General features: G+C 44.0%; 1 protein-coding gene across 4 annotated transcripts, besides 3 other annotated features; it reads left to right on the top strand.

Annotated features, from left to right (window-relative positions):
- Window positions 1–44: 44 nt before the first annotated feature.
- Window positions 45–22498, top strand: LYAR (Ly1 antibody reactive). Of its 4 annotated transcripts, none has more exons than NM_017816.3 (10): window positions 45–163; window positions 3627–3680; window positions 6404–6578; window positions 8302–8416; window positions 10450–10557; window positions 10669–10752; window positions 15430–15832; window positions 16530–16616; window positions 21584–21669; window positions 22176–22498. In NM_017816.3, the coding sequence occupies exons 3-10, from the start codon at window positions 6457–6459 to the stop codon at window positions 22308–22310; spliced, it is 1140 nt and encodes a 379-aa protein (NP_060286.1). In that variant the 5' UTR covers window positions 45–163; window positions 3627–3680; window positions 6404–6456; the 3' UTR covers window positions 22311–22498. The 4 variants fall into 4 exon arrangements, with proteins under 4 accessions (NP_060286.1, XP_011511807.1, XP_011511808.1 ...); XM_011513505.2 differs by having other exon boundaries at window positions 45–596; NM_001145725.2 differs by lacking the exon at window positions 45–163 and adding an exon at window positions 178–213.
- Window positions 1020–1557: an enhancer, noted in NCBI's record as "H3K4me1 hESC enhancer chr4:4290369-4290906 (GRCh37/hg19 assembly coordinates)". NCBI's record gives its function as "activates a minimal SCP1, AML or CMV promoter by ChIP-STARR-seq in naive H9 embryonic stem cells {active_cell/tissue: H9 hESC(naive)}" and the evidence as "EXISTENCE:reporter gene assay evidence [ECO:0000049][PMID:30033119]".
- Window positions 1558–2096: an enhancer, noted in NCBI's record as "H3K4me1 hESC enhancer chr4:4289830-4290368 (GRCh37/hg19 assembly coordinates)". NCBI's record gives its function as "activates a minimal SCP1, AML or CMV promoter by ChIP-STARR-seq in naive H9 embryonic stem cells {active_cell/tissue: H9 hESC(naive)}" and the evidence as "EXISTENCE:reporter gene assay evidence [ECO:0000049][PMID:30033119]".
- Window positions 20621–20798: a silencer, noted in NCBI's record as "fragment chr4:4271128-4271305 (GRCh37/hg19 assembly coordinates)". NCBI's record gives its function as "represses an EF-1alpha promoter that drives an FKBP-Casp9 reporter gene in an ReSE screen in K562 erythroleukemia cells {active_cell/tissue: K562}" and the evidence as "EXISTENCE:reporter gene assay evidence [ECO:0000049][PMID:32094911]".
- Window positions 22499–23049: the final 551 nt, after the last annotated feature.

Raw genomic sequence — 23049 nt, 5'->3', positions numbered from 1 at the left:
CTGGGGGGGGCGTGGCCGCGGTGCGCAGGCGCGCTGGGTGGTTCAGAAGCGAATTCTGCACCGCGAAGCCTGAGAGGCAGGTAGCTGCGGCGCTGGGCTGGCGGCGGCGAGTCCACGTGCTCCCCGCGGCCGGTTGAAACCGTTGGCGGGCGCTGGCTGAGAGGTGAGGGGTGGTGGCCCAGAGGTCCGACCTGGGAGGCTGGGGCTCAGAGAGTGAGTAGGGGAGGGACGGGATTTCCACCGTCAGCCCCTCTGGGTTACGCATGGAGGAAGGAGTTCCATTCAGATCTCACTCCTGCTCTGGGGAAGTGGCAGGAGTCCTGGACTTAGGGTGACCAACTCGTTTTAGTTTTAAAACTTAAGGTCCGGCGTCCTGGGAACTCCCTCGGGCCTGGCCAAACCAGGACGATTGGTCACCGCCCGACTGGGCTTCAGGCTTGCTGCATGTTGGAGACAGGGCTCTTCTCTGAGCCTTGGGAGATCAGTCCCTAAAGAGGAGGCCTTAGGATGTAGCGGTCCAGAGCACATACTTAGGATCAGAATAACTACTGCGTGTGAATCTGGGTTGCCACTACCTGGATGTGGGATGACCTGGTGTAAGTTTTTTAACCTCTTTGCGCCTCACTTTCCTCATCTGTCATAACATATAGAATCTAACTCGGAGAACTGTGATGAGGATTACATGAGTAGAAATGTGTTAACCTCCTATGAGAGGGCTTGGGTGCTCCATGAATGTTAGGATTCTCTGAAGCACCTACCTCTGAGGAGAGAGGGAGGAGGATGAGGTGGGGTCTGTATTTGCAACCCTGATTTCTAGCAGAGAGGGCCCACTTGGGACTTACTCACACTGTGCCCGAGGCTCCCAGGGTCTAGCATAGTGCCTGACACATGGTAGTTACTCGAGTGAAGGGATGGTGTTTAAAACAGTGCTGGTGATGCCGTGGGTGGGGTAGGAGGCAGAGAGAAATGGCTTCTGTGCCTCAGTTTGCTCATCTGTTTAGTGGAGATAGGTGCACCTACTTCCCAGGGCTTTTGCAAGGAACAAGGGAGAGATTCTCTCCTTGTGAATGTCACCCATTGTAACCCTTGTCAGCCTCATACACAAAGGTTTAGGCAGGATGGTGGACAGAGTATGTTTGTCTGTCCTTCTCTTGCACCATACCCATGGTTTCTCAGAATGCTACCCGTGGAAGGGGCTTGAGTCTTGTCAAGTTGGCCTGACTTCTTGTTTCACAGATGAGATAACTTGAAGTTTATAGAGGCAGTGGCATGCTCAGGGTCACAGTGTTCAGTGGGGGATATCCTGGGGTTGCCAGCTAGGCCCCTCAGGTGGGCTGTTTGAGTGGTAGTGGTGGTAATGATGTGTAGGTCAGTGTCTGCATGTGCATGCAAGAATATTTTAAGAATAGTCAAGGCCAAGCGCAGTGGCCCGTGCCTGTCATCCGAGCACTTTGGGAGGCCGAGGAGGGTGGATCACCTGAGGTCAAGAGTTCACAACCAGCCTGGCCAACATGGTGAAACTCCGTCTCTACTAAAAATACAAAAATTAGCCGGGCATGGTGGCATGTGCCTGTAATCCCAGCTACTGGGGAGGCTGAGGCCGGAGAATCACTTGAACCTGGGAGGCAAAGGCTGCAGTGAGCCGAGATTGCGCCATTGTACTCCAGCCTGGGCAACAGAATGAGACTCCGTCTCAAAAAAAAAAAAAAAAAGAAAAAAAATTGAATAAGTAATACAAAAATATAGAGGGAAGAAGATTTAAAAAAAATCATTCCAATCTCAGAACCAAACCTAAGGGCATGTTATCAGGGAACTTGGTAAAGTAGGCAGCCATGGGGTGAGGAGCCAGAGAAGGTTGGAGTGAATTTATGAACATAAATGGGTGGGTTGATGGTCATATTTAAAGGAGCATGGGTTTAGGAGGGGGCTGGGTATAATAGCATTGATGTGCAAATTAGTAGGTCACAGAGAAACCTTTCTACAATTGGGCAGGGATGAAGCTTTCATATCTGGTGTCTTATTTAACTTTCCACCCAATGCTTTGAGTTAGGTATTAGATCCATTTTACAGATAAACAGATTCTGGGAAGTTAAGGTGCTTTGAGGTCATTTAGTTTTTAATGACTTTTTTGACATTAGCAGATGTAGGCTCCAGCTCAGATCCTCTACACCTGAGTCAGGGCCCTGTCCAACAAAAGCTGGCAACCATCTTGTTAAGAGAAGACTAACAAGTTCCCAGCCCCTTAGTGACCACTGGCTGCTGCCCCTCAGCTAGCTTTGCTGTCCAGACCCTGACAGCCTCTCCTGTGACATGGGTGGTCTCCTTGCCCACTGCACAGAGGTTTTATAATTAAGACTTAGGGTTCTAATATTTATACATGGAAAGTCATCTTATAGAGACCTTAATTTTTTTTCTCTTTGGATGAGGACCTCAAGGTCCCAGGTGCTGAGTAACCACCAAGCAAACGGCTAGGACATGGCAGGTCAAGATGGAGGCAGGGTGGGAGCCTGGGCTTGCTGCCTGGTCTTTCAGGCCACCTCTGCCACTTACTGTGACTTCGGGCAGTTCACTTACCCTCCTGAGCCTTAGGTTTTCTCTCCAGATGGAGGTAGTATGATCATAGCAGTCTTAGTGGTATTGGGGGCAGTTGTGTTCATAAATGGGACACGGCTTTGTAGAGAGCTAATGATCATGTGTTCTATGGTGCAGACCCCGTCATCTTTTTCATGGGTATGGCATGTGATGAGAGCTCAGTAAACTGACCATACAGACAGACGAAGACGCAGCCAGGAGCACACGCAGAGGACCTGCGTGAGGGCCCCAGGTGTATCTGGGTGGATAGGATAGTGTCAGCATTCAGGAAATGTCTGCCGAATTGAGTTAAAGTGACTGAGCAAGAACCGAAGTATGCTCTCAACCAGTCCAAGAACACTGCCTTCTGCCTGCCTTTCTCTTTTAACATGCGCATGTGGCCAGAAGGAAAGCATGTAGAATCTCTCTGGCTGCGCTGGGACTGGACATTGGGCAGAGGGAGTTGGGGAGCCAGGGAAGGAAAAGAGGACTCTATTTAGATCCAGCCCCATGAAAAAACTGCTGTCTTTTTACACTTAGGGCTAGATGTTGAAATCTGTCACATCTGAGCCCGGCAGACTGGGTGTCCTCAAAATCTTAATGCAGTTTTAAGCTTTCATAATTTCAGAAGCATAAATGATCCAAACTTGCCAAAACATCATTTAAAATTTAATTAAGGCCGGGCGCGGTGGCTCACGCCTGTAATCCCAGCACTTTGGGAGGCCGAGGCAGGCGGATCACGAGGTCAGGAGATTGAGACCATCCTGGCTAACACGGTGAAACCCCATCTATCTCTACTAAAAAATACAAAAAATAAGCTGGGCGTGGTGGCGGATGCCTGTAATCCCAGCTACTCGGGAGGCTGAGGCAAGAGAATGGCATGAACCCGGGAGGCGGAGCTTGCAGTGAGCCAAGAATGCACCACTGCACTCCAGCCTGGGCGACAAAGCGAGACTCCTTTCTCAAAAAAAAAAAAAAAAAGTTTAATTAAATTTCCTTCATGCTTATCTAGTCTTGTGGAATTTGAACAATACCGTTTTACTTTTTTGTTTTAGGCAATGTTTGCTGTCTTCCATTGGAGTGACTGAATTTCTACATGACGGCTTTTTGTAAGTTTGTAGTATTTACATTTTTGTTTTAGGCAATGTTTGCTGTCTTCCATTAGAGGGACTGAATTTCCACCTGACGGCTTTTTGTAAGTTTGTAGCATTTACGCTTACGAATATTAAGCCTGCACTAAGACCTGGGACACCCTGTCTGCTGTGCAGTTAGGCTGACTTTGAAGCTTCTGATGGTTTTGAGCTTTTCTTTGAAGCCCAAGCAAGTGTTTATGGCATAAATTACAGGTATTTTCGCCTGGGGCTAGGTTGGGTTTGAGGTGTAATCAAGGTGCTGGACTGTCCTCCAGGCTCTGAATAAAGGAGAGGTAAGCTCCTTACAGACATTAGCTCATTAGCCAAGCAAGTGGACACAGAGCTGTTCCCATTTCATGGCAAGTGTAAAAATCCGGAGGAAGGCAGGAAGAGACAGTTCTGACTTCCTGTGCAATCCACCCATTTGGCCTTAAACAAGTAAAGACCAAATGAAAATGATGTGAGAGTTATTTTTTAGCTGGACATGTAACCAGATTCTAATCACCTTCTGAATTGATATTTAATTACACTGTAGTGTGTAGCCGATCTCCAGAGAGATAGAATGTTTGGCACAGTTACTCTTGAGTATCTTTTTGTCAACATCACTGCTTTCACTGCTTCTTTCAGTCAATATATTTTGTTTCCAGCTTCCTTCCTAGGCCTTTAATTCCTGCTGGGACAGGAATCTCTCAATTCACTCTTAAGCCTTGTCGAAACCTTTCTTCCTCCCATCTCCCACTCCATCCAGAAATAGAATTGTCCTCAGCAACAGAGGTTGGCAAGCTCTAAGCCGTATCTAAGTTTCAGAGACTGTTTTTTGTTGTTGTATCTTATTAGAAAAGTGCTTTAACGTTTTTCAGCAGATAATTTGGCATATCACGGCTGCTTTCACCTTGTGCCTGTGATGACAATCTATTTCTTGGTGACTAATAAGTTATTCCTGCTCTTACACCAAAGTGCACCTCCATGCTCTTTGAGAATGTGATGTTGGCTCTTATTCCAGCCTTTGTTCTCCCTTGTCAGGCAGGATAGCTGCTCTTGTTGCCTGACATGTTGATCATCCCTCTGCCTTTTTTTAGAATGGTAAGCTTTGAGGGAGCTGGGTTGTGGGAAACGTGATTCCAGCTCCCAGGAGCTTGACAATATCACACATCTTTACAGTAAGCAGATGAGAAGATGACAGTTGCTGCAGCACATCGAGGGTAGTCATGTTTTCCTTCCTGAGGATTTGGTGCTAGGTTGTAGCTGACCACATGCTGTCCGTTTACTAACATACACTGATAGTGAGCTGAGGAGCGGGGCCTGGGACCGCGGAATCAGGGGTCTGTGGTTTGTATGTAGCGTAGAAGCTGAGCTGATGTCTGATAGTGTCCCACAGGGCAAGAGGCCTCCACAAGAGACCAGCTGGACCTTTGTGAACCCTGGAGATGCAGCCAGGATGTACATTTCCATTCAAGGCTGAATGGACATGAATAACCTTGGTCGTTGCTTGGGTGTGGCCTCACTGGCAGTGATCCAAAACATGCTGGTGGAGGAGCAACGGTGATTTCATGCATGGGAATTCTCTGCAAACCAAGGGTAGATCATTTGTACTGAAAGCTTGTTGGATGAAGTCCTACCCTGAAGTAAATTGCATCGGTTTACTTGACCCTCACCTTTATTTTCCTAATGAGGAAGAAAGCTCTGGGTTAAACAGTTCTCAGTATTTTTGCTGTAAAACTTATAATGTAAAACAACAATGCTGTTTTAAAATCTAGTGATTAAAAATTATGTAAGTATGGAAAATTACTGTGACTTCTCTAACACTTCTAGACGAATTTGTGTTTTCCTGAGCACGGTAGCATTTCTGTGAAATTTTACAATGATGTTTATGTGCGTGTGCAGACATACTTCTTTTTGGGGCAGTGCTCGGGACACCTGGGTTTGTGAACTCCAGTAATTCAGCACCCAGCAGTTGGGACACCTGGACTTGGTTCCGTTTCTTTCTGACTTGTCTGACAAGCTGCCACATGAAGAAGGCCCCTGTCCATTACAGCTGAGGCGCATGTCCTCATTTTAACCTTTGTAGATATATAGTAATATTGATATGAATGCTTTTAGTGCCATAGAAATTGTGCCCATAGAATTGCCTCTTCTTCACTTTCTAAACTTCACTCAGTTTTCCTCTTGCTGTGTTCTTAGTATATTTGAGGACCTGAAATAGTTTGTAGTGTACACCTAAATTGCAATGCCTTCTATAAGTTTCATATACAGAGAGAGAGTTTAAGGTATTATGGAAAGTAAGATTTAACACCCTCAAAGCTCTTCATCTTGAGAGCCAATCTGCCAGGTTTAAATCCTGGTTCTGTTAACCGTGTATCCTTGGGCAAGTTATGTAATCTCTGTGTCTCAGTTACCTCATATAAATTTTGAACAATAATAGTCCTTCCCTCATAGGGTTACTGCGGGGATTGAATAAGTGAATAAATGTAAAGCCTCTAGAATAGTGCCTGGCACGTGGTAAGGACACAATAAATGTTAGCCATTCTCATTGTTAATGTTAGTTTTACTTATATGAATGGTGGAATTTTATGTAGATTGCTAATCAACTTTGACTCTGTTATTTTCATGTGAAATTATGGTTGAAAAGTTAGGGGCATGAGCCATTTATTGAAATGAGAAGTTTCAGTTTATAATTATAATTGTCTTTTTTTCCTTAGGACAAGACTTAAAACCTGTCTTGGATAGAGAATATTTAGCCATTTACCTAAAAATGGTATTTTTTACATGCAATGCATGTGGTGAATCAGTGAAGAAAATACAAGTGGAAAAGCATGTGTCTGTTTGCAGAAACTGTGAATGCCTTTCTTGCATTGACTGCGGTAAAGATTTCTGGTAAGCTTCACAGAATTCATGTAGATCCATAGTAAATCCAGATCAGTTTTGGAAGCCTTGGCGCCACAAAGCTTGGAAAAATAGTGGCAAATTTGAAGAATGAAATTAAGACTAAAAACTGGTATGTTCCATTGATTAAAACTGGTGTGATTCTTTCAAATGTGCTTTACTAGGCCGGGCGCAGTGGCTCAGGCCTGTAATCCCAGCACTTTGGGAGGCCAAGGTGGGTGGCTCATGAGGTCAGGAGTTGAAGACCAGCCTGGCCAACATAGTGAAACCCTGTCTCTACTAAAAATACAAAAATTAGTCAGGCGTGGTGGTGGGCGCCTGTAATCCCAGCTACTCGGGAGGCTGAGGCAGGAGAATCGCTTGAACCCAGGAGGCAGAGGTTGCGGTGAGCCGAGATTTCACCACTGCACTCCAGCCTGGGCAACAGAGCAAGTTAACCCCTTCTTGGGGGGGAGAAATGTGCTTTACGAAACAATTTGCTTTTTGAGGATATGTTAAAGAAAAGACTAGGGGAAGGGGAATTATGATGATTAGAGTGTTCAGTCAGTTGGTGACACTGGTTGCTATTGCATTGCCACTGTTTACAGACCCAGGGAACTAACTGCGTGGAAGATGGCTCCAGGGGTTTAGAGCCAGTTTCATTAGACCATGGGTATCACATGCCCATCACAGTGGAGAGATGGACTTATGAACCAGAAAGTGAATTTATGAGCTCACAGTGGGGCAGATGACTGGTAGCAGAGGAAACTATGTCCTCCCTAGAAAATCAGAGGTGCTGGTGGAAGTGAGGCTCTTCCTGGCCCCACGGGTGTGTCAGGAGACACTTCCACTGAGGAGGCCTCTGTGAATGTGAGGAGTTAGCGGGGAGGGACAGGACAGATCCTGCCTTAGACACCGGTTCTTCAGGTGGGTCGTTTGCAGAGGGCTCCCCTCTTGAATTTCATGTTGATTCCCCTTCAGCCTCAGAAGGTCCAGGCGAGAAGCTGGCTTCTGGCTGCATCTGCCCCAGTGTCCTCTGAGGCATTCGGATGGTACTGGCTAATACTCTCTTTTAATTCATTCTGGAGCAGTGATTTTTTTTGGAAACTGCTAACCTCTGTTCAGACGTAATCCTAGGAGGAAGCTTGATATATAAAGTAGGTTAAAATTGAGTTTTCATTAGGGGACTTTGCCCTGGACCTTGTCCCCAACATTTCCCTGAAGAACCCCATAGAGCTTTACAAAGATTATATGAGAGAGAATTTAGTTTTCTTTTTTCTCAGGACCCTAAGGGATCCAGAACTGTTGGTAACCTCATGCTGCCATTTTATATCTGTTTTTGATTTATTCTACAACTAATTATTGACTGTCTATTAGACATTGAGATTTTTATAATTTAAAAAAACTACCCTATTGCATAGAACTATTTTCTTGTTTATTCAGTATATGTACACTTATGACTTAAAAAAATACTGCCTATCAATTTAGCTTAAGGTGTTTATAAAAATGGGGGAAAAGTTTGGTGATGGGTTTTATATTGACGACTTTGGAGGAAGGGGGATGTGGTTCTGACCAGGAGGCTGTAAACATAATAAGTGAAATAGATGGGGTGCTTGTGTGATAGACACATGTGAAAATATACAGTGTAGACCACAGAAGATAGTGGCAGCATGCTGGTATTAGCGCCTCCAACTTGGGTATCAGTCTAATGGCAGAACTTTTGATCACTTTAAAGGGGCGATGACTATAAAAACCACGTGAAATGCATAAGTGAAGATCAGAAGTATGGTGGCAAAGGCTATGAAGGTAAAACCCACAAAGGCGACATCAAACAGCAGGCGTGGATTCAGGTAACGTCTCTCTAACTCATTGAGTAGCTTCCTCTGACAGCTTCCGCTTTCTTTGGAAGCCCAAGAGACTAAGAGTAAATGTGTCATCCCTGCAGACAAGCTCTGGAAACCTCATGTCCTAGGATAGACAGGTTGAACTAAAACCTCTTGAAAAAGAATTCTTTGGCTGGGCATGGTGGCTCACGCCTGTAATCCCAGCACTTTGGGAGGCCAAGGCAGGCGAGTCACGAGGTCAGGAGTTCAAGACCTGCCTAGACAACGTGGTGAAACCCCATCTCTACTAAAAATACAAAAAATTAGCCGGGCATAGTGGCGGGTGCCTGTAATCCCAGCTACTCAGGAGGCTGAGGCAGGAGAATCGCTTGAAGCCAGGAGGCAGAGGTTGCAGTGAGCCGAGGTTGTACTGGGTGACAGAGTGAGACTCCGTCTCAAAAAAAAAGAAAAAGAAAAGAAAGAAAAAAAGTTCTTTATTCTTCTAGCTGTTAAAACAGTTGCGGTGCATTATACCTTTAATCCATGTGTTTTGTTAATTTCTTGAAAAAAAAGTTTTAGAATTCTCATTAGCTTTCCCTTGGCTGTAAAACTAAATGGAAGCTTCTAATCTCTCCCTGCTTCTAGTGATAATGGAGCTTTTATAACTCAAGCCATGTTAATCTGTCACATCTGCCAGTCATTAGAATTAGGCAAAATAAAGATACTTTCGTCAATGCAGAGAATTTTCTACTTAACTAAAACAGCATGAAAACATGCACAGTAGAAATGGCAGAAACATTGACTCCCTAATTCACTGGGAAGTATAACTCTCAGAATGCTACTGATCATTTACAGAATAGGTAGCAGGAGGAAGGATTCAGAAAGGAAGGTGGGATAATGAAAAGACGGATGTCATCTATTGAAAATTCTGTGTTTTTCTAAAAACCAATAAAAAGTAATCGTTCCATTTGATAATAGAGTTGGAACGTGAATTTTTCAGACATTAACTAGCTTACTGAATGAGCATACTACTGGGAGGGTATTTCTGTTCACAAAGGACTTACTAGAGCAGATTGAGAAGCTAATGAAATCCTGTTTGCACTGGTGACCAGCAGCCACACTTTTGAGCACTCTCTGTAATTCTCTAAAAACCAGATGACGTTCCTAGACCCTAAGGTTGAGGTGCATGGGTCTGTGAGTTCCGTCTCTGCTGCTGTCACACTCGATGAAATCCTCTGAAGCAGGGGTCAGCAAACTACAGAAACTTATTACAGCTTTGTAATAAGTTTTGAAATCAGAAAATATGAGATCTGCATTTTTGTTGTTCTTTTCAAGATTGTTTTGGCTATTTGGTATCTTTTGAGATTCCCTGTGAGTTTTAGGATGGATTTTTCTGTTTCTGTAAAAACGTATATATACACACACATTGGATTTTGATAGGAATTGTATTGAATCTGTAGATTGCTTGGGTAGTATTAACATCTTAACAACTTTAAGTCTCCCAGTCCATGAGTACGGAATGTTTTTCATTTATTTGTGTCTACTTTAATTTCTTTCAGCAGTGTTTTTTGGTTTTCAGTAAACAAGTCTTTTGCCTCTTCAGTTAAGTTTATTCCTGATTATTCTTTTTGATGCTGTTGCAAATGGAATTGTTTTCTTAATTTCTCTTTCTGGTTGTTATATAAAATGCAACTTGATTTTTGAATGTGGATTTTGTATCCTGCAACTTTGCTGGATTTGTTTATTCTAACAATTTTTGTGTGGACTCTTTAGGACTTTTGACATATAAGACCACATCATCTGTGAACAGAGATAATTTTACTTCATCCTTTGCAGTTAGGATGCCTTTTATTTTGTTTTCTTGCCTAACTGCTCTGGCTAGGACTCCAGTACTATGTTAATAGAAGTTAACCTATATATTTTTAAGCATAGACATAAATACAGAATCTGGGCTTAAAACGTGAACGCTTTAGCCATGGCAAGGACTTTTTCAATTGGCTTTCATGAAACTCATGTTGGTTGTTTATTAATAGTTTTTCTTTTTTCTTCCCTTTTTGTAGAAAATTAGTGAATTAATAAAGAGACCCAATGTCAGCCCCAAAGTGAGAGAACTTTTAGAGCAAATTAGTGCTTTTGACAACGTTCCCAGGAAAAAGGCAAAATTTCAGGTATGAATTGACTTTCTTGAATGGAGGGGGCCGTGTGGCCCATCAGTGACTGAGCTTGTGTGTACCTGTCCAAGTGGGATCAATAGTTCTTTTTCTTTTTCTTTCTTACAGAATTGGATGAAGAACAGTTTAAAAGTTCATAATGAATCCATTCTGGACCAGGTGTGGAATATCTTTTCTGAAGCTTCCAACAGCGTAAGTCAGATCTGATTTTAGATTTGCATTGTGGCAAAAATAATTAGTAATAATGAAATGGGAATTTCTTATTTTTGGAAGTCAAGGCAGCCTTCTTTTTTATTTTTATTTTTTTGAGATGGAGTCTTACTCTGTTGCCCAGGCTGCAGTGCAGTGGTGCGATCGTGGCTCACTGCAACTTCTGCCTCTGGGTTCAAGCAATTCTCGTGTCTCAGCCTCCCAAGTAGCTGGGACTGTAGGCACGAGCCATCATGCCCAGCTAATTTTTTGTATTTTTTTTTTTTAGCAGAGACAGAGTTTCACCATGTTAAGCAGGCTGGTCTCGAATTCCTGACCTCAGGTGACCTGCCTGCGTTGGCCTCCCAAAGTGCTGGAATTACAGGCATGAGCCTCCGCACCTGGCCCAGCCTTCTTTTTTAGAGAACCTCTTAGTGCCTTCATTTATGGAAAGGAAGAAACTGAATGCACTGCAGAGACTTCCTTATTGTGAAGAGCAAGATGTTTCATCCCAATGTTTGATGCTGGTGCCAGCCCAGTATGTAATGATTTGCTTAGTAATCAGGCAGGGAGATAGATACATGGGAAAGAAAGAACAGGAGCTTTGGATTTCTGACAGACCTGGTTCAAATCCCTGCTGTGCAGTTTGCCTGACGTTTGATCTTAGGCACATTATTTAGCCTCTGAGCCTCAGTTTCCTTATCTAAAAAAAATGTGGATAGTAATATTCATTCATTTATTTAATACTTAACTGAGTGTCTGATCTGTGCCAGGACCTGAACAAAAAAATCTAAAGTATCCCAGGTGGTGGTGCATGAGGGAAAATAAAACAGGGTGAGGACGTAGTGACTAGGTGTTCCTCTGGATAAGGGGTGAGGGGGTCACAGCAGCCTCTGAAGGTTACGGTTAAGGTAGATGAGCAGTGTGCTTGAAGCGCCTTCCTTCTGGTAGAAGGAGAATTCCCTTCAAGTAATTAAATCAGCCACCTGTTAGTCAAAATGGTTGAATAGAGACCCTAAATGTGGACTATATATGTAGAAAATCTTGGTTTGCTATCTTTCAGCCACATTGTTGATTACATTGTTTATTTTTGTGTAAATATCAGTTTCAAAAAACAGTGGGGTCAGAACCCCACTGGTCTTTCATTCTTATCAAATTATCGGGAGTTGATTCACTTATGTAGAGAGAATACTTTCGGCAACAAGTGGGCATCAAGATGAAAATTTATCTCGGTAGTACACCTAGCGTTTGTCTCTTTCAGAAGGTACAAATTGGCCCTTTGAAACCGTATAACCGATCATTAGATTGGCCTTTATGTGGCATCTATTTTTTAAGGTTATTTCTGTTTTAACTAAGAATCAAAGATTTGAAATTGCTTCAACTGCAGGGTTTTAGAAAGTTTTTTCCAGTTTCCCTTTTGAAGTGTGAACATATTAAACATTAAATAAAATAAGGAGTAAACAGCCCCTGGTAAACCCTGAGCTCTGCGAAACGCAGCTTGTCATCCCTTACCTCTGCCTTTGCACCACGGCCCTCCCAGCATACCCTGTGTTTGTAGTGCAGAGCAGAGGGTCCTGAGGCCTTGTCCTCCGTACCTTGGTTGTTTATCCTCCTGTAACTCTGCCAGATGTCAGGTCGGATGCTTTTCTGTCCTCTACCCCATCACAGTTCACCTGATCACTGTGGATGCAACTGTAATTAGGCCAAGGTCCTGGCTGGTTGGAGCTGTGTTCTAGTGGGGGAGATAGGCACCACGTGCGGGTCCATGGTGTAATGTCAGGTCCTGATCAGCACTGGGAAGAAGCCAGAGGCATTGGGAGGCCAGGACTGAAGGAGGTGCTCGATTAGGAAAGAGTCAGGGCATCACAGAGGAGACCACATTTGAGGAGAGTGTGTAATGAGGTAAAAAGAAGATGGGGAAGAATTGGTTCACCTATTTATTGAGCAGCTACCAGATGGGTAAATGTGTGCCTCCCTCCCTCTCTCCCTGTGGCCGAGGAGTTGGTTTAGACAAAGAGGCAAGGCACCAGCTGAAAATCTGGTCTGGATTGTGTAGAAGGGATGCCAGGGTCTCAGGCTCTCAGTGGTTAAAATAATATTTTATGGCGGGCACAGTGGCTCATGCCTATAATCCCAGCACTTTGGGAGGCTGAGGCAGGCAGATCAGTTGAGGTCAGGAGTTTGAGACCAGCCTGACCAACATGGTGAAACCCTGTCTTTACTAAAAATACAAAAATTAGCTGGGTGTGGTGGCAGGCGCCTAGAATCCCAGCTACTCGGGAGGTTGAGGCACAAGAATCATTTGAACCTGGGAGGCGGAGGTTGCAGTGAGCTGATATTGTGCCACTGCACTCCAGCCTGGGTGATAGAGCGAGACTCAGTCTCAAAAAATCATAATGATAATAATATTTTACTAGAAGATATCGACAGAATTGTAGGACAGATGTGAAGTTTCTTTGTCCCCTTCTTCCTAAGTCTATTTCTGAAATCCTCCTCTGCCCTTTACCCCATGAGCCTTGACAACCTGATGCTGCTAAGCCACTGCTACTGAGAAAACCAGGTGGTTACATCAGTATCCATTTTCTTTTCTTTTGAGACGGAGTCTCACTCTGTCACCCAGGCTGGAGTACAGTGGCACGATCTTGGCTCACAGCAACCTCTGCCTCCTGGGTTCAAGTGATTCTCCTGTCCCAGCCCCCCGAGTAGCTAGGATTACAGGCGCTTGCCACCACGCCTGGCTAATTGTTGTATTTTTAGTAGAGACAGGGTTTCACCATGTTGGCCAGGCTGGTCTCAAACTCCTGACCTCAGGTGATCTCCCTACCTCGGCCTCCCAAAGTGCTGGGATTACAAGCATGAGCCACCGCACCCGGCCTACAGTATCCGTTTTCTTTTTTTTTTTTTTTGAGACAGAGTTTCATTCTTGTCACCCAGGCTGGAGTGCAGTGGCGTGATCTTGGCTCACTGCAACCTCCACCTTCCGGGTTCAAGTGATTCTCCTGCCTCAGCCTCCCCAGTATCCATTTTCTAATGCTGCTCTTGTAGCCAAGGATCGAGCCTTAAGGTCTGAGTCCTGAGTCCTTGCACTCTAGTGAAAGCTTGTCCTTTTTTATTTGGTCCAGTTTTGAGGACATAGTCCTTGCTACCCACAATCTCCCAAAGGAGGAAGACTGTAGGTAACTTACCCTGTCCTTTGGCTAGACTAACAGAGACGGAATTTGAACCCCCGCCTGCAGGTGCATCAGCTCAGTGGTTTCTCACACCTGGAAGCAGCCACTGGCCACTCTCTTTCCCTCCAGAGGCATCAGGGAACATGGAACAGTTCAATGAATTGCTCCAGGTCATCTCTTGAGAAAGGGGCTCAGGGAGGGAGTTCAGGAAGGAATGGGACTGAACTTGCTGATGTCACTGTTTAAAGTAGGCTCTATGTGCTGATTTTAATAAGGTAATGCAAGGCCTGGCGCTGTGGCACACACCTGTAATCCCACCACTTTGGGAGGCCAGGTCGGGCGGATCACCTGAGGTTGGGAGTTCAAGATCAGCCTGGCCAACATGGTGAAACCCTGTCTCTACTAAAAATACAAAAATTAGCCAGGTGTGGTGGTGCATGCCTGTAATCCCAGCTACTCAGAAGGCTGAGACAGGAGAATCACTTGAATCTGGGAGGTGGAGGTTGCAGTGAGCTGAGATTGCACCACTGCACTCCAGCCTGGGTGACAGTGAGACTCTGTCCCAAAAAAAATACATAAATGAGGTAATGTATTTAACAGGGGTAACCATTAGAGAGACACCTCCATACGTAAAGAATGGTGACCCCGTCTCTACAGAAAATAAACAATTTTCCGGTTTTGATAGCTTGCGCCTGTGGTCCCAGCTACTTGGGAGTCTGAGGCAGGCGTGTTGCCTGAGTCTGGGAGCTGGAGGTTGCAGTGAGCTGAGATTGTGCCACTACATTTCAGCCTGTGCAACAGAACAAAGCAAGACCCCTGTCCCCATTAAAAAAAAAAAAAGAATGATGAGAATGGTGACCATTCTTCTAATGGTAACTTTCCAGTCTGAATAATGATGATAATAACAGTACCATTTTCTAAGGCTGATAATTTACAAAACTCTTCACACACAATGGGCTGGTTTATTGGGCATGTGTTATGCTAATAAGCACATGACGGATCTTTCCTCGTTTCATCCGTCCGTGTGTGAGGTAGGTATTACTACCTTTCATTTTACAGATGAGGAAATAGGTTTGGAAAAGATAAATGACTTGCCCTTAGTCACCTGACTAGGAATTAATAGAACTGGAGCTTGAACCCAGGTCTGCAGACACATAACATCCAGTGGTTTCTACCACCCCTAAGTACTCTTCTCTTATCTAAAAGGTGAATAGTGAGCTGGAATGAAAGGTCTTATCTTCAGCGACATAAGGATTCTTCACTTTTCCAGTGGAATGAAAATGTCTGTTCTGTGCAGACAGAGGGGTGTGGACTGGGGGAAGTGGTTTCCCATTTTGTATATTTACTGCTACATTTTAGCTGTTGGTGGGGGTCACAGTTATAAAACGATAAGGGATTAAACCAACCGTTTTTCTTGAACAGTTTATGTAGTAGGCCCAGGCAATAACGTGACAACTCTATTTACACATTTAAAATGAATATGTGTTTCTTGCTTTTGCTTAATGATAAGGAACCAGTCAATAAGGAACAGGATCAACGGCCACTCCACCCAGTGGCAAATCCACATGCAGAAATCTCCACCAAGGTTCCAGCCTCCAAAGTGAAAGACGCCGTGGAACAGCAAGGGGAGGTGAAGAAGAATAAAAGAGAAAGAAAGGAAGAACGGCAGAAGAAAAGGAAAAGAGAAAAGAAAGAACTAAAGTTAGAAAACCACCAGGAAAACTCAAGGAATCAGAAGCCTAAGAAGCGCAAAAAGGGACAGGAGGCTGACCTTGAGGCTGGTGGGGAGGAAGTCCCTGAGGCCAATGGCTCTGCAGGGAAGAGGAGCAAGAAGAAGAAGCAGCGCAAGGACAGCGCCAGTGAGGAAGAGGCACGCGTGGGCGCAGGGAAGAGGAAGCGGAGGCACTCGGAAGGTAAGTGGCTAGCTCACGCTCTGGGATTCATCTGAAAACCGGGAAAGCTGTGAATTTGGGATATTTAAGCCTGTTAGACCTAGCGTTTTGTGTGCGTGTGTGTGTGGTTTTTTTTTTTTTTGTTTTTTTTGAGACGGAGTCTTGCTCTGTTGCCCAGGCTGGAGTGCAGTGGCACGATCTCAGCTCACTGCAACCTCCACCTCCCAGGTTCAAGCGATTCTTCTGTCTCAGCCTCCTGAGTAGCTGAGATTACAGACGTGTGTCACCAGACCCAGCTAATTTTTGTATTTTTAGTAGAGATGGGGTTTCGCCATGTTAGCCTGGCTGGTCTCGGACTCCTGACCTCTGGTGATCCGCCCCCCTCGGCCTCCCAAAGTGCTGGGGTTACAGGCATGAGCTACCGCACCTAGCTAGACCTTATGTTTTGAACCAAGTAAGGGAACGAGCATAAGCTTTGTGGCCAGGCAGAGGTGGGCCCTGCCCAGGCAAATGACCTCACTTCTCAACTCCTTTCATCCCATCTCCAGCATGGAGGAGGATAAAACCCTCCTGGGGTTTTATAAACCGGGGCTGGGCAGCTTGGAGAAGAAATGAGATGATACGTGGAGTTTGCCTAGCTCGCATAAGGTCTCATTAAATGGTAGCTGCTAGCGTAAATGCAAAATCTTCTTTAAAAAAAATCTTTCCAAATACTTAGTTGAAACAGATTCTAAGAAGAAAAAGATGAAGCTCCCAGAGCATCCTGAGGGCGGAGAACCAGAAGACGATGAGGCTCCTGCAAAAGGTATATCACTGCTGTCATTTGAGGAGCACGGCTGGGCACAGCGGCTCTCGCTGATAGTCCCAGCTACTTCAGAGGCAGGGGCAGGAGGGTCACTTGAGCTCAGGAGTGTGAGGCTGTAGTGAGCCATGGGCGTACCACTTTCAAAAAGCGAGAGAGAGAGAAAAGAAAAGAGAGAAATACACGGTCCCTTGTAGGTTGGGAGAGGGGCCGAGAGATGCCCCCTTCTGGGGAAGGAAGGTGTAATGTGGGCACTTCTAGTAGGGTCTTACCCTCCAGAGGTATATATAAGAATTTGAAAGTAAAATCAGTTCTCTAGGGTGTGTGAGTCAGTCTTACAGTGCCTCTCACCCACTGTCTTTAAGGAGAAAAGTAAAGCAGTCTGGTTTGGAAATGTATGTTATCTTTGAAATTTAAATAAGCCCAATATAGCTTTCTGAGACCCGGTTCCCTTTCGCTCCTCCCCAACTCTCTTGCCCCTGCCTTTCACTGTTCTCTTAGAAGTCCCCTGAACTGTGCCCCTGCCCATCTCTGGGCCTGTTTCTGGGGTCTCCTTGCTTGTATCCTCAACCTCAGAATCCAGTCCCTGGCCTTCACGGGCCCTCTGAAATGCTGTCTCTTACACAAAGCTTCTCTCCTGCTTCTTCAGGCCTGAAGCACTCATACCTGTCGGGAGGTGGCAAGTCGTCATCTCTCTGCCACCTCCCCCAACCCCCAGGATCCTGCAGTTCAGAACAGGTCCAAAGACTCAAATGGGCCTGCAGCTTTATTAGCAGAGTTCAGTGACTGCCAGCATTGGGTTAGATCTCTAAGCTTAAAACCCCCTTCTCAACTTAGTAAACAGTAGTGTCCCCATATCTGTGGGATGGAAAATTCCAGAAATAAACAATTGATAAGTTTTCCATTGCATGCTGTTCTGAGCAGCATGGCGAGATCTCTTGCTGTCCTGCTGTATGCCTTCTTCACCACAAGAAGGGTGAGGATAGGACAATAAGATATTTAGAGAGACACAGAGAGACCACATTCACATAACTTTTATTATAGTGTATTGTAAAATTGTTCTATTTTATTATTAGTTATTGATAATCTTTTACTGTGCCTCATTTATAAGTGGAGCATTGTCATAGGCATGAATGAATATTTAGGGAAAGACAGTATATATAGGGGTTCAGTACCATTGTGATTTCAGGCATCCACTGGGGGTCTGGGAACTGTCCCCTGCAGATCAAGGGGGACAACTGGAATGGTTATTTTTGTTGTTGTTGTTACATTTTTTGTTTTGAGATCCTTGTAGACTCACATGCAGTTGTAAGAAATAATGGAGACTCAGGCGTCCTTATGTATCCGCGTACCCTTTACCTTGTTGCCACCCAGGATAACACTTTACACAACTGTAGTACAGCATCTCAGCCGGGATGTTGACATGGATACGCTTCCATTTCCATCGCCATTGCGCAAGGCTGCCTCCTGCTGCCCTCTTGTAGCCACAGCCACTTCCCTCTCACCCCCACCCCCTCCTTAGCCTCTGGCAATCACTAATCTGTTCTTCATTTCTGGAATCTCCGAATGTTCTATGAATGGAATCATACAGTATGTAACCTTTTGAGACTGACTCTTCGCTCAGCGTTTTTCTCTGGAGATTCACCCAGGTTGCTGAACTGACCAATATTCATCTTATTGGTGAGGAGTATCCCGTGCTGTGCGTGCATCACAGTCCTTTCATCATTCACCTGTGGAGGGACACCTGGGTGGTTTCTAGTCTCTGGTTATTAATGAATAAAGCTGCAGTAAACATTGATGTGCAGGTTTCTGTGTGAACTAAGTCAGTTTTTCTGAAGCGAATGTTCAATGCTGTGTCATACAGTAGTTGCATATTCTTTCTTTTCTAAGAAACCACCAGCTCAATAACTAATGCTGGCGAGGATGTGGAGAAAAAGGAACGCTGGTGCACTGTTGGTGGGAATGTAAATTAGTACAACCACTATGGAGAACCGCTTGGAGGTTCCTCAGAAACCTAAGAATAGAGCTCCCGTCCAATCCAGCAGCCCCACTGTTTGGGTATATATTCAGAAGAAAGGAAATCCCTGTGTTGAAGAGATACCTGCACTCCCGTGTTTGTTGCAGCACTATTTACAATAACCAAGATTGGAGCAACCTATGTGTCCAGCAGCAGATGAATGGGTAAAGAAAATGTGGTGCATGTACACAGCGGAGTACTATTCAGCCATAAAAAGAATGAGATCCTGTCGTTTGCAGCAACGTGGATGGAACTGGAAGTCATTATGCTAAGTGAAATAAGCCAAGCACAGGAAGACAAGCATAGCATGTTTTCACTTATTTGTGGGATCTAAAAATCAAAACAGTTGCCAACTCATGGAGATAGAGAGTAAAAGGATGGTTACCAGAGACTGGAAAGGGTGGTGGGAGGCTGTGGGAGAGGTGGGGATGGTTAATGGGTATCAAGAAAATAGAATGAATAAGATCTAGTATTTCATAACACAACAGGGTGGCTGTAGTCAATAATAATTTAATTGTACATTTTAAAATAACTAGAGTATAATTGGATTGTTTGTAACACAAAAGGATAAATGCTTGAGGTGATGGATACCCCATTTACTCTGATGTAAGTATCATACATTGCATGTCTGTATCAAAATATCTCACGTGCCCCATATACACCTGCTGTGTACCCACAAAAATTTAAAAAGGAAAAAACTGTCAGCTGTTTCAGGAGTCTCTGTACACATTTTATATTCCCAGTAGCAGTGTGTAAAGGATCTAGTTTCTCCACATCATGGTCAATATTAGGCGTTGCCACTGTGTTGTATTTTCGCCATTCTGATAGATGTGTGGTAACCGCTCATTGTGGTTTGAATTTGTGTGGCCCTAATGACTAATGTTGTTGAGCACCTTCTTCTGTGCATATTTGCTATCTGTATATGTTTTTGTTGAAATGTCTGCTCTCTTTTTTTAAATTTTTTTCCCCTATTTTCTAATTTGAGTTGTTTGGGGTTTTTTTGGTTGTTGTTTTTGTGGGTTTTTTTTTTTTTTAACTGTTGAGATTTTAGTTTTTAAATTTATTCTAAATAGTACTCCTTTGTGGGACATAACAGTTTGTGAATTTTTTTTCAGTCTTTTTGCTTGTTTTTTCATCATAACAGAGTCTTTTTAGGGCAAATGGTTTTTATTTTGATAAAGTTCAATTTATCAATTTATCTTATGGATTGTGCTAACAACTCTTTACCTAGCCCTAGAGCCTAAAGATTTTTTTGTTTTCTAAATTATCTTAATGGATAACTTTTTTTTTTTTTTTTTTTACAAATCAACATTTTATGTAGTTCAGGTGTACAATTTAATGTGTTACTGTATTTTATTTTTATTTTTCGAGACAGGGTCTCACTGTTGCCCAGGGTGGAGTGCATTGGTGTGATCATGACTCACTGCAGCCTCAACTTCCTGAGCTCAAGCAATCTTCCTGGGTAGTTAGGACTACGAGTACACACCACCACACCCAGCGAAGTTTTAAAATTTTGTGACGGAGGTCTTGCAGTGTTGCCCAGGCCTGTCTTGAACTCCTGGGCTCAAGCAATCCTTCTGCCTCAGCCTCCCAAAGTGCCTGGATTACAAGCATGAGCCACCATGCCCAGCTCAACTTAATGTTTTATTATACATGTACATTGTGAAATAGTGACTACAATCAAGCTGATTAACACATTTATCACCTCACATAGTTTACGTGTGTGTGTGTTGAGAACACTTAAGATATATCCTCACAGCAAATTTCAGGTCTATGTTAAATGCCTCCTAGTCTTACATTTTTTATTGAAGTCCATGATCCATTTTGAGTTAGTTGTTTTTGTAAGGTGTGAGATCCTGTTTACGCTTTCTGTTTTAACTGGCTTTCTCTCACATGACTTTGGTGGTTGTGGAGGGGCACGGCCTTGTTGCTGTCAGGTGGGGGCGGAAGTCCAGGCTCTCTACTCAGCCTCCATCCACACCTGAGGATGGCCACTTCTTGCTCCTGCCGGGCAGGGCTCCTGGTGCAGGTTCCACTGACATCACAGCAGGGGCAGCCTCATGACCGGCCTGTGTGGATGAGACCCCTGAATTCCTGCTTGGCCTTCTGTGACACCGTCCCTCATTACAGCCTTGCGAGGGTAGAGAACTCAGGCTCGCCACTCGGCTTTTGCTGGTGCGGGTGGGGGTGGAGCCACCGTTTTTTCTGTGATGTGTGGCTGCAGTAGGGTTGTTATTATACAAAAGTTTTCTGTCTTGCTAGGCTGCCGTTTCCCGGTCCTTTGCCAAGAGAGCAGGCTTCTGTTGGGACTGTTTTGTCTGTGCTGTTGGTGTTCAGGTTGCTGGGTTCTTCAACTCCAGATCTGGGGTACAGGCAGCAAGAAGCTCACCCCGTGTTGCTCTGCAGGCCCCGAGGTCCCAGCTGGTCTCTACCTTTCAGAGTCTTCTTACATTTCTTGCCTATATAGTTTCAGGGTTCTCAGTTGTAGTGGGCAGGAGGAAGGGGAAAGTGTGTCCACTCCATCTTCCCAGAAGCAGAAGTTCCCTAGATGAGTATTTTTAGTTCCTCTATAATAGTTTGTGGTTGTCCTCTCTCTCATTTCAGGTCAAGCTGTTTTGCTCATCTTTGTCCTCCCTACTGTGCATGGACAGCCCCATGATCTTAGTGGATGCTTAGGAAATCTGTGTTGAGTTCATTACATACAACTCTATCTAGGAGTTTGTCATGCCAATAGCACATGGGCACCTGCTCACTCTTAAGAGCCAGTCCTTTGAAGGGTAGTGAGTGCTTCTAGGACATTGGAATTGAACAGATGCTTGGTGCTATGGAGTCTGGTTCATTAGAGGGTTAGCTCATTTCCTGGGAAGCAAATAGGTGTTGCAGAAGTTGTTTCTTTACCCTTCTCGTAGTACAACAAAACGAAATGTCTTAAATATTATTATTTATATTGTAGGTAAATTCAACTGGAAGGGAACTATTAAAGCAATTCTGAAACAGGCCCCAGACAATGAAATAACCATCAAAAAGCTAAGGAAAAAGGTATGGCATATGAACAAACCCACGTGTCTAACAGCTGGGGAGAACTTATTTCTAAATGTACAATTGTTTGTTTTTTTCTTTTTTCACCTAAAACACTGAAAATCTGTGTGTGTGTCTCAGTGATTTTCAAGCTGCTCCAAAGCCCCACACAGCCTCAGCCAGGGTGGTGCCTAGATTTTGGGCTTGTTTATAAGACTTTGAAGAGAGGCTCCATTTATTTAATTTTTATTGTTTGGAAATTATTTTCTAGATATTTGCTCTCTTTTGCCTATCCCAGAGCAGTGGTTTCTTCTCCTTTATTTCACTTTGTTTCTCAGGATGACTCACACATGGCCAAACCCCTGCACGTGGCTGCCGCCTGGGTTTTCCAAGGAGAGCACGCCGGTGTCGCTTGCTCCTGGGTTTCTTTTATTTTTTCCTGTTGTTCTATTTCTGGGTTAAAGACAGAACATTTTAAGATAATTTTCCAGGTCAAATACACTCATTTGATGTTTTTCTTTGTGAAGGTTTTAGCTCAGTACTACACAGTGACAGATGAGCATCACAGATCCGAAGAGGAACTCCTGGTCATCTTTAACAAGAAAATCAGCAAGAACCCTACCTTTAAGTTATTAAAGGACAAAGTCAAGCTTGTGAAATGAACATTTGTGTATTTAAAAATTGAATCCATTCTGCTGACTTCTTCCTTTCACTGCTGTTTATAAAATGTGTAATGAATTCTAACAACTCAAATTTTGCTTTTTGAAGCTGTATTTTTAAGTTAAGAAAATATATTTTTGGTATAACTTTTATGAGAAAAATAAAATATATTCTGGTCCAAACTTCTAAATTTGTTGTGGCAAAAATTACTGAACTTTACAAAATAGTTTTGTGTGAAAAAATTTTTTTCAATGTAGTGCAGCAACAAGTAAAAAAGTAATTCCTCTTTTGATCAGACTAAAAAGTATTCATTTTAACCACATCATTTCTACACTTTGTTGTTATTGTTGTTTGAGAAAGGGTCTCTGTCGCCCAGCCTGGAGTGCAGTGGCACAATCTCAGCTCACTGCAACCTCCATCTCCCAGGTTCAAGCAATTCTGCCTCAGCCTCCTGAGTAGCTGGGATTACAGGCATCCGCCACCACACCTGGCTAATTTTTATATTTTTAGTAGAGCCAGGGTTTCACCATGTTGGCCAGGCTAGTCCCAAACTGACCTCAAGTGATCCGCCTGCCTCGGCCACCCAAAGTTCTGGGATTACAGGCATGAGCCACTGTGCCCAGCTATTTCTACACATTTTTGATTAGAGATGTTTTGTGCGTTTGTTTTTTGTGTTGTTGGAATGTGTATGTGAACTGCGGGAATGGTCATGACAAGAGTCTTGTATGTGTTAATCCTTCT

The sequence above is a fragment of the Homo sapiens genome, chromosome 4, assembly GCF_000001405.40.
Source record: "Homo sapiens chromosome 4, GRCh38.p14 Primary Assembly".
NCBI classification, from domain to species: Eukaryota; Metazoa; Chordata; class Mammalia; order Primates; family Hominidae; genus Homo; species Homo sapiens.
The sequence above is the reverse complement of the archived record's forward strand: the minus strand, read 5'-3'. Positions and strand labels throughout refer to the sequence as shown.

What these genes read in the sequence shown, in the direction of transcription:
- LYAR (XM_011513506.4), top strand. Translation starts at nt 6,457, where the DNA reads ATGGTATTTTTTACATGCAATGCATGTGGTGAATCAGTGAAGAAAATA. An exon ending in AACAGCAGGCGTGGATTCAG is followed by an intron (nt 8,417 to 10,449) that starts GTAACGTCTCTC and finishes CCCTTTTTGTAG; the next exon opens with AAAATTAGTGAATTAATAAA. An exon ending in GGAAAAAGGCAAAATTTCAG is followed by an intron (nt 10,558 to 10,668) that starts GTATGAATTGAC and finishes TCTTTCTTACAG; the next exon opens with AATTGGATGAAGAACAGTTT.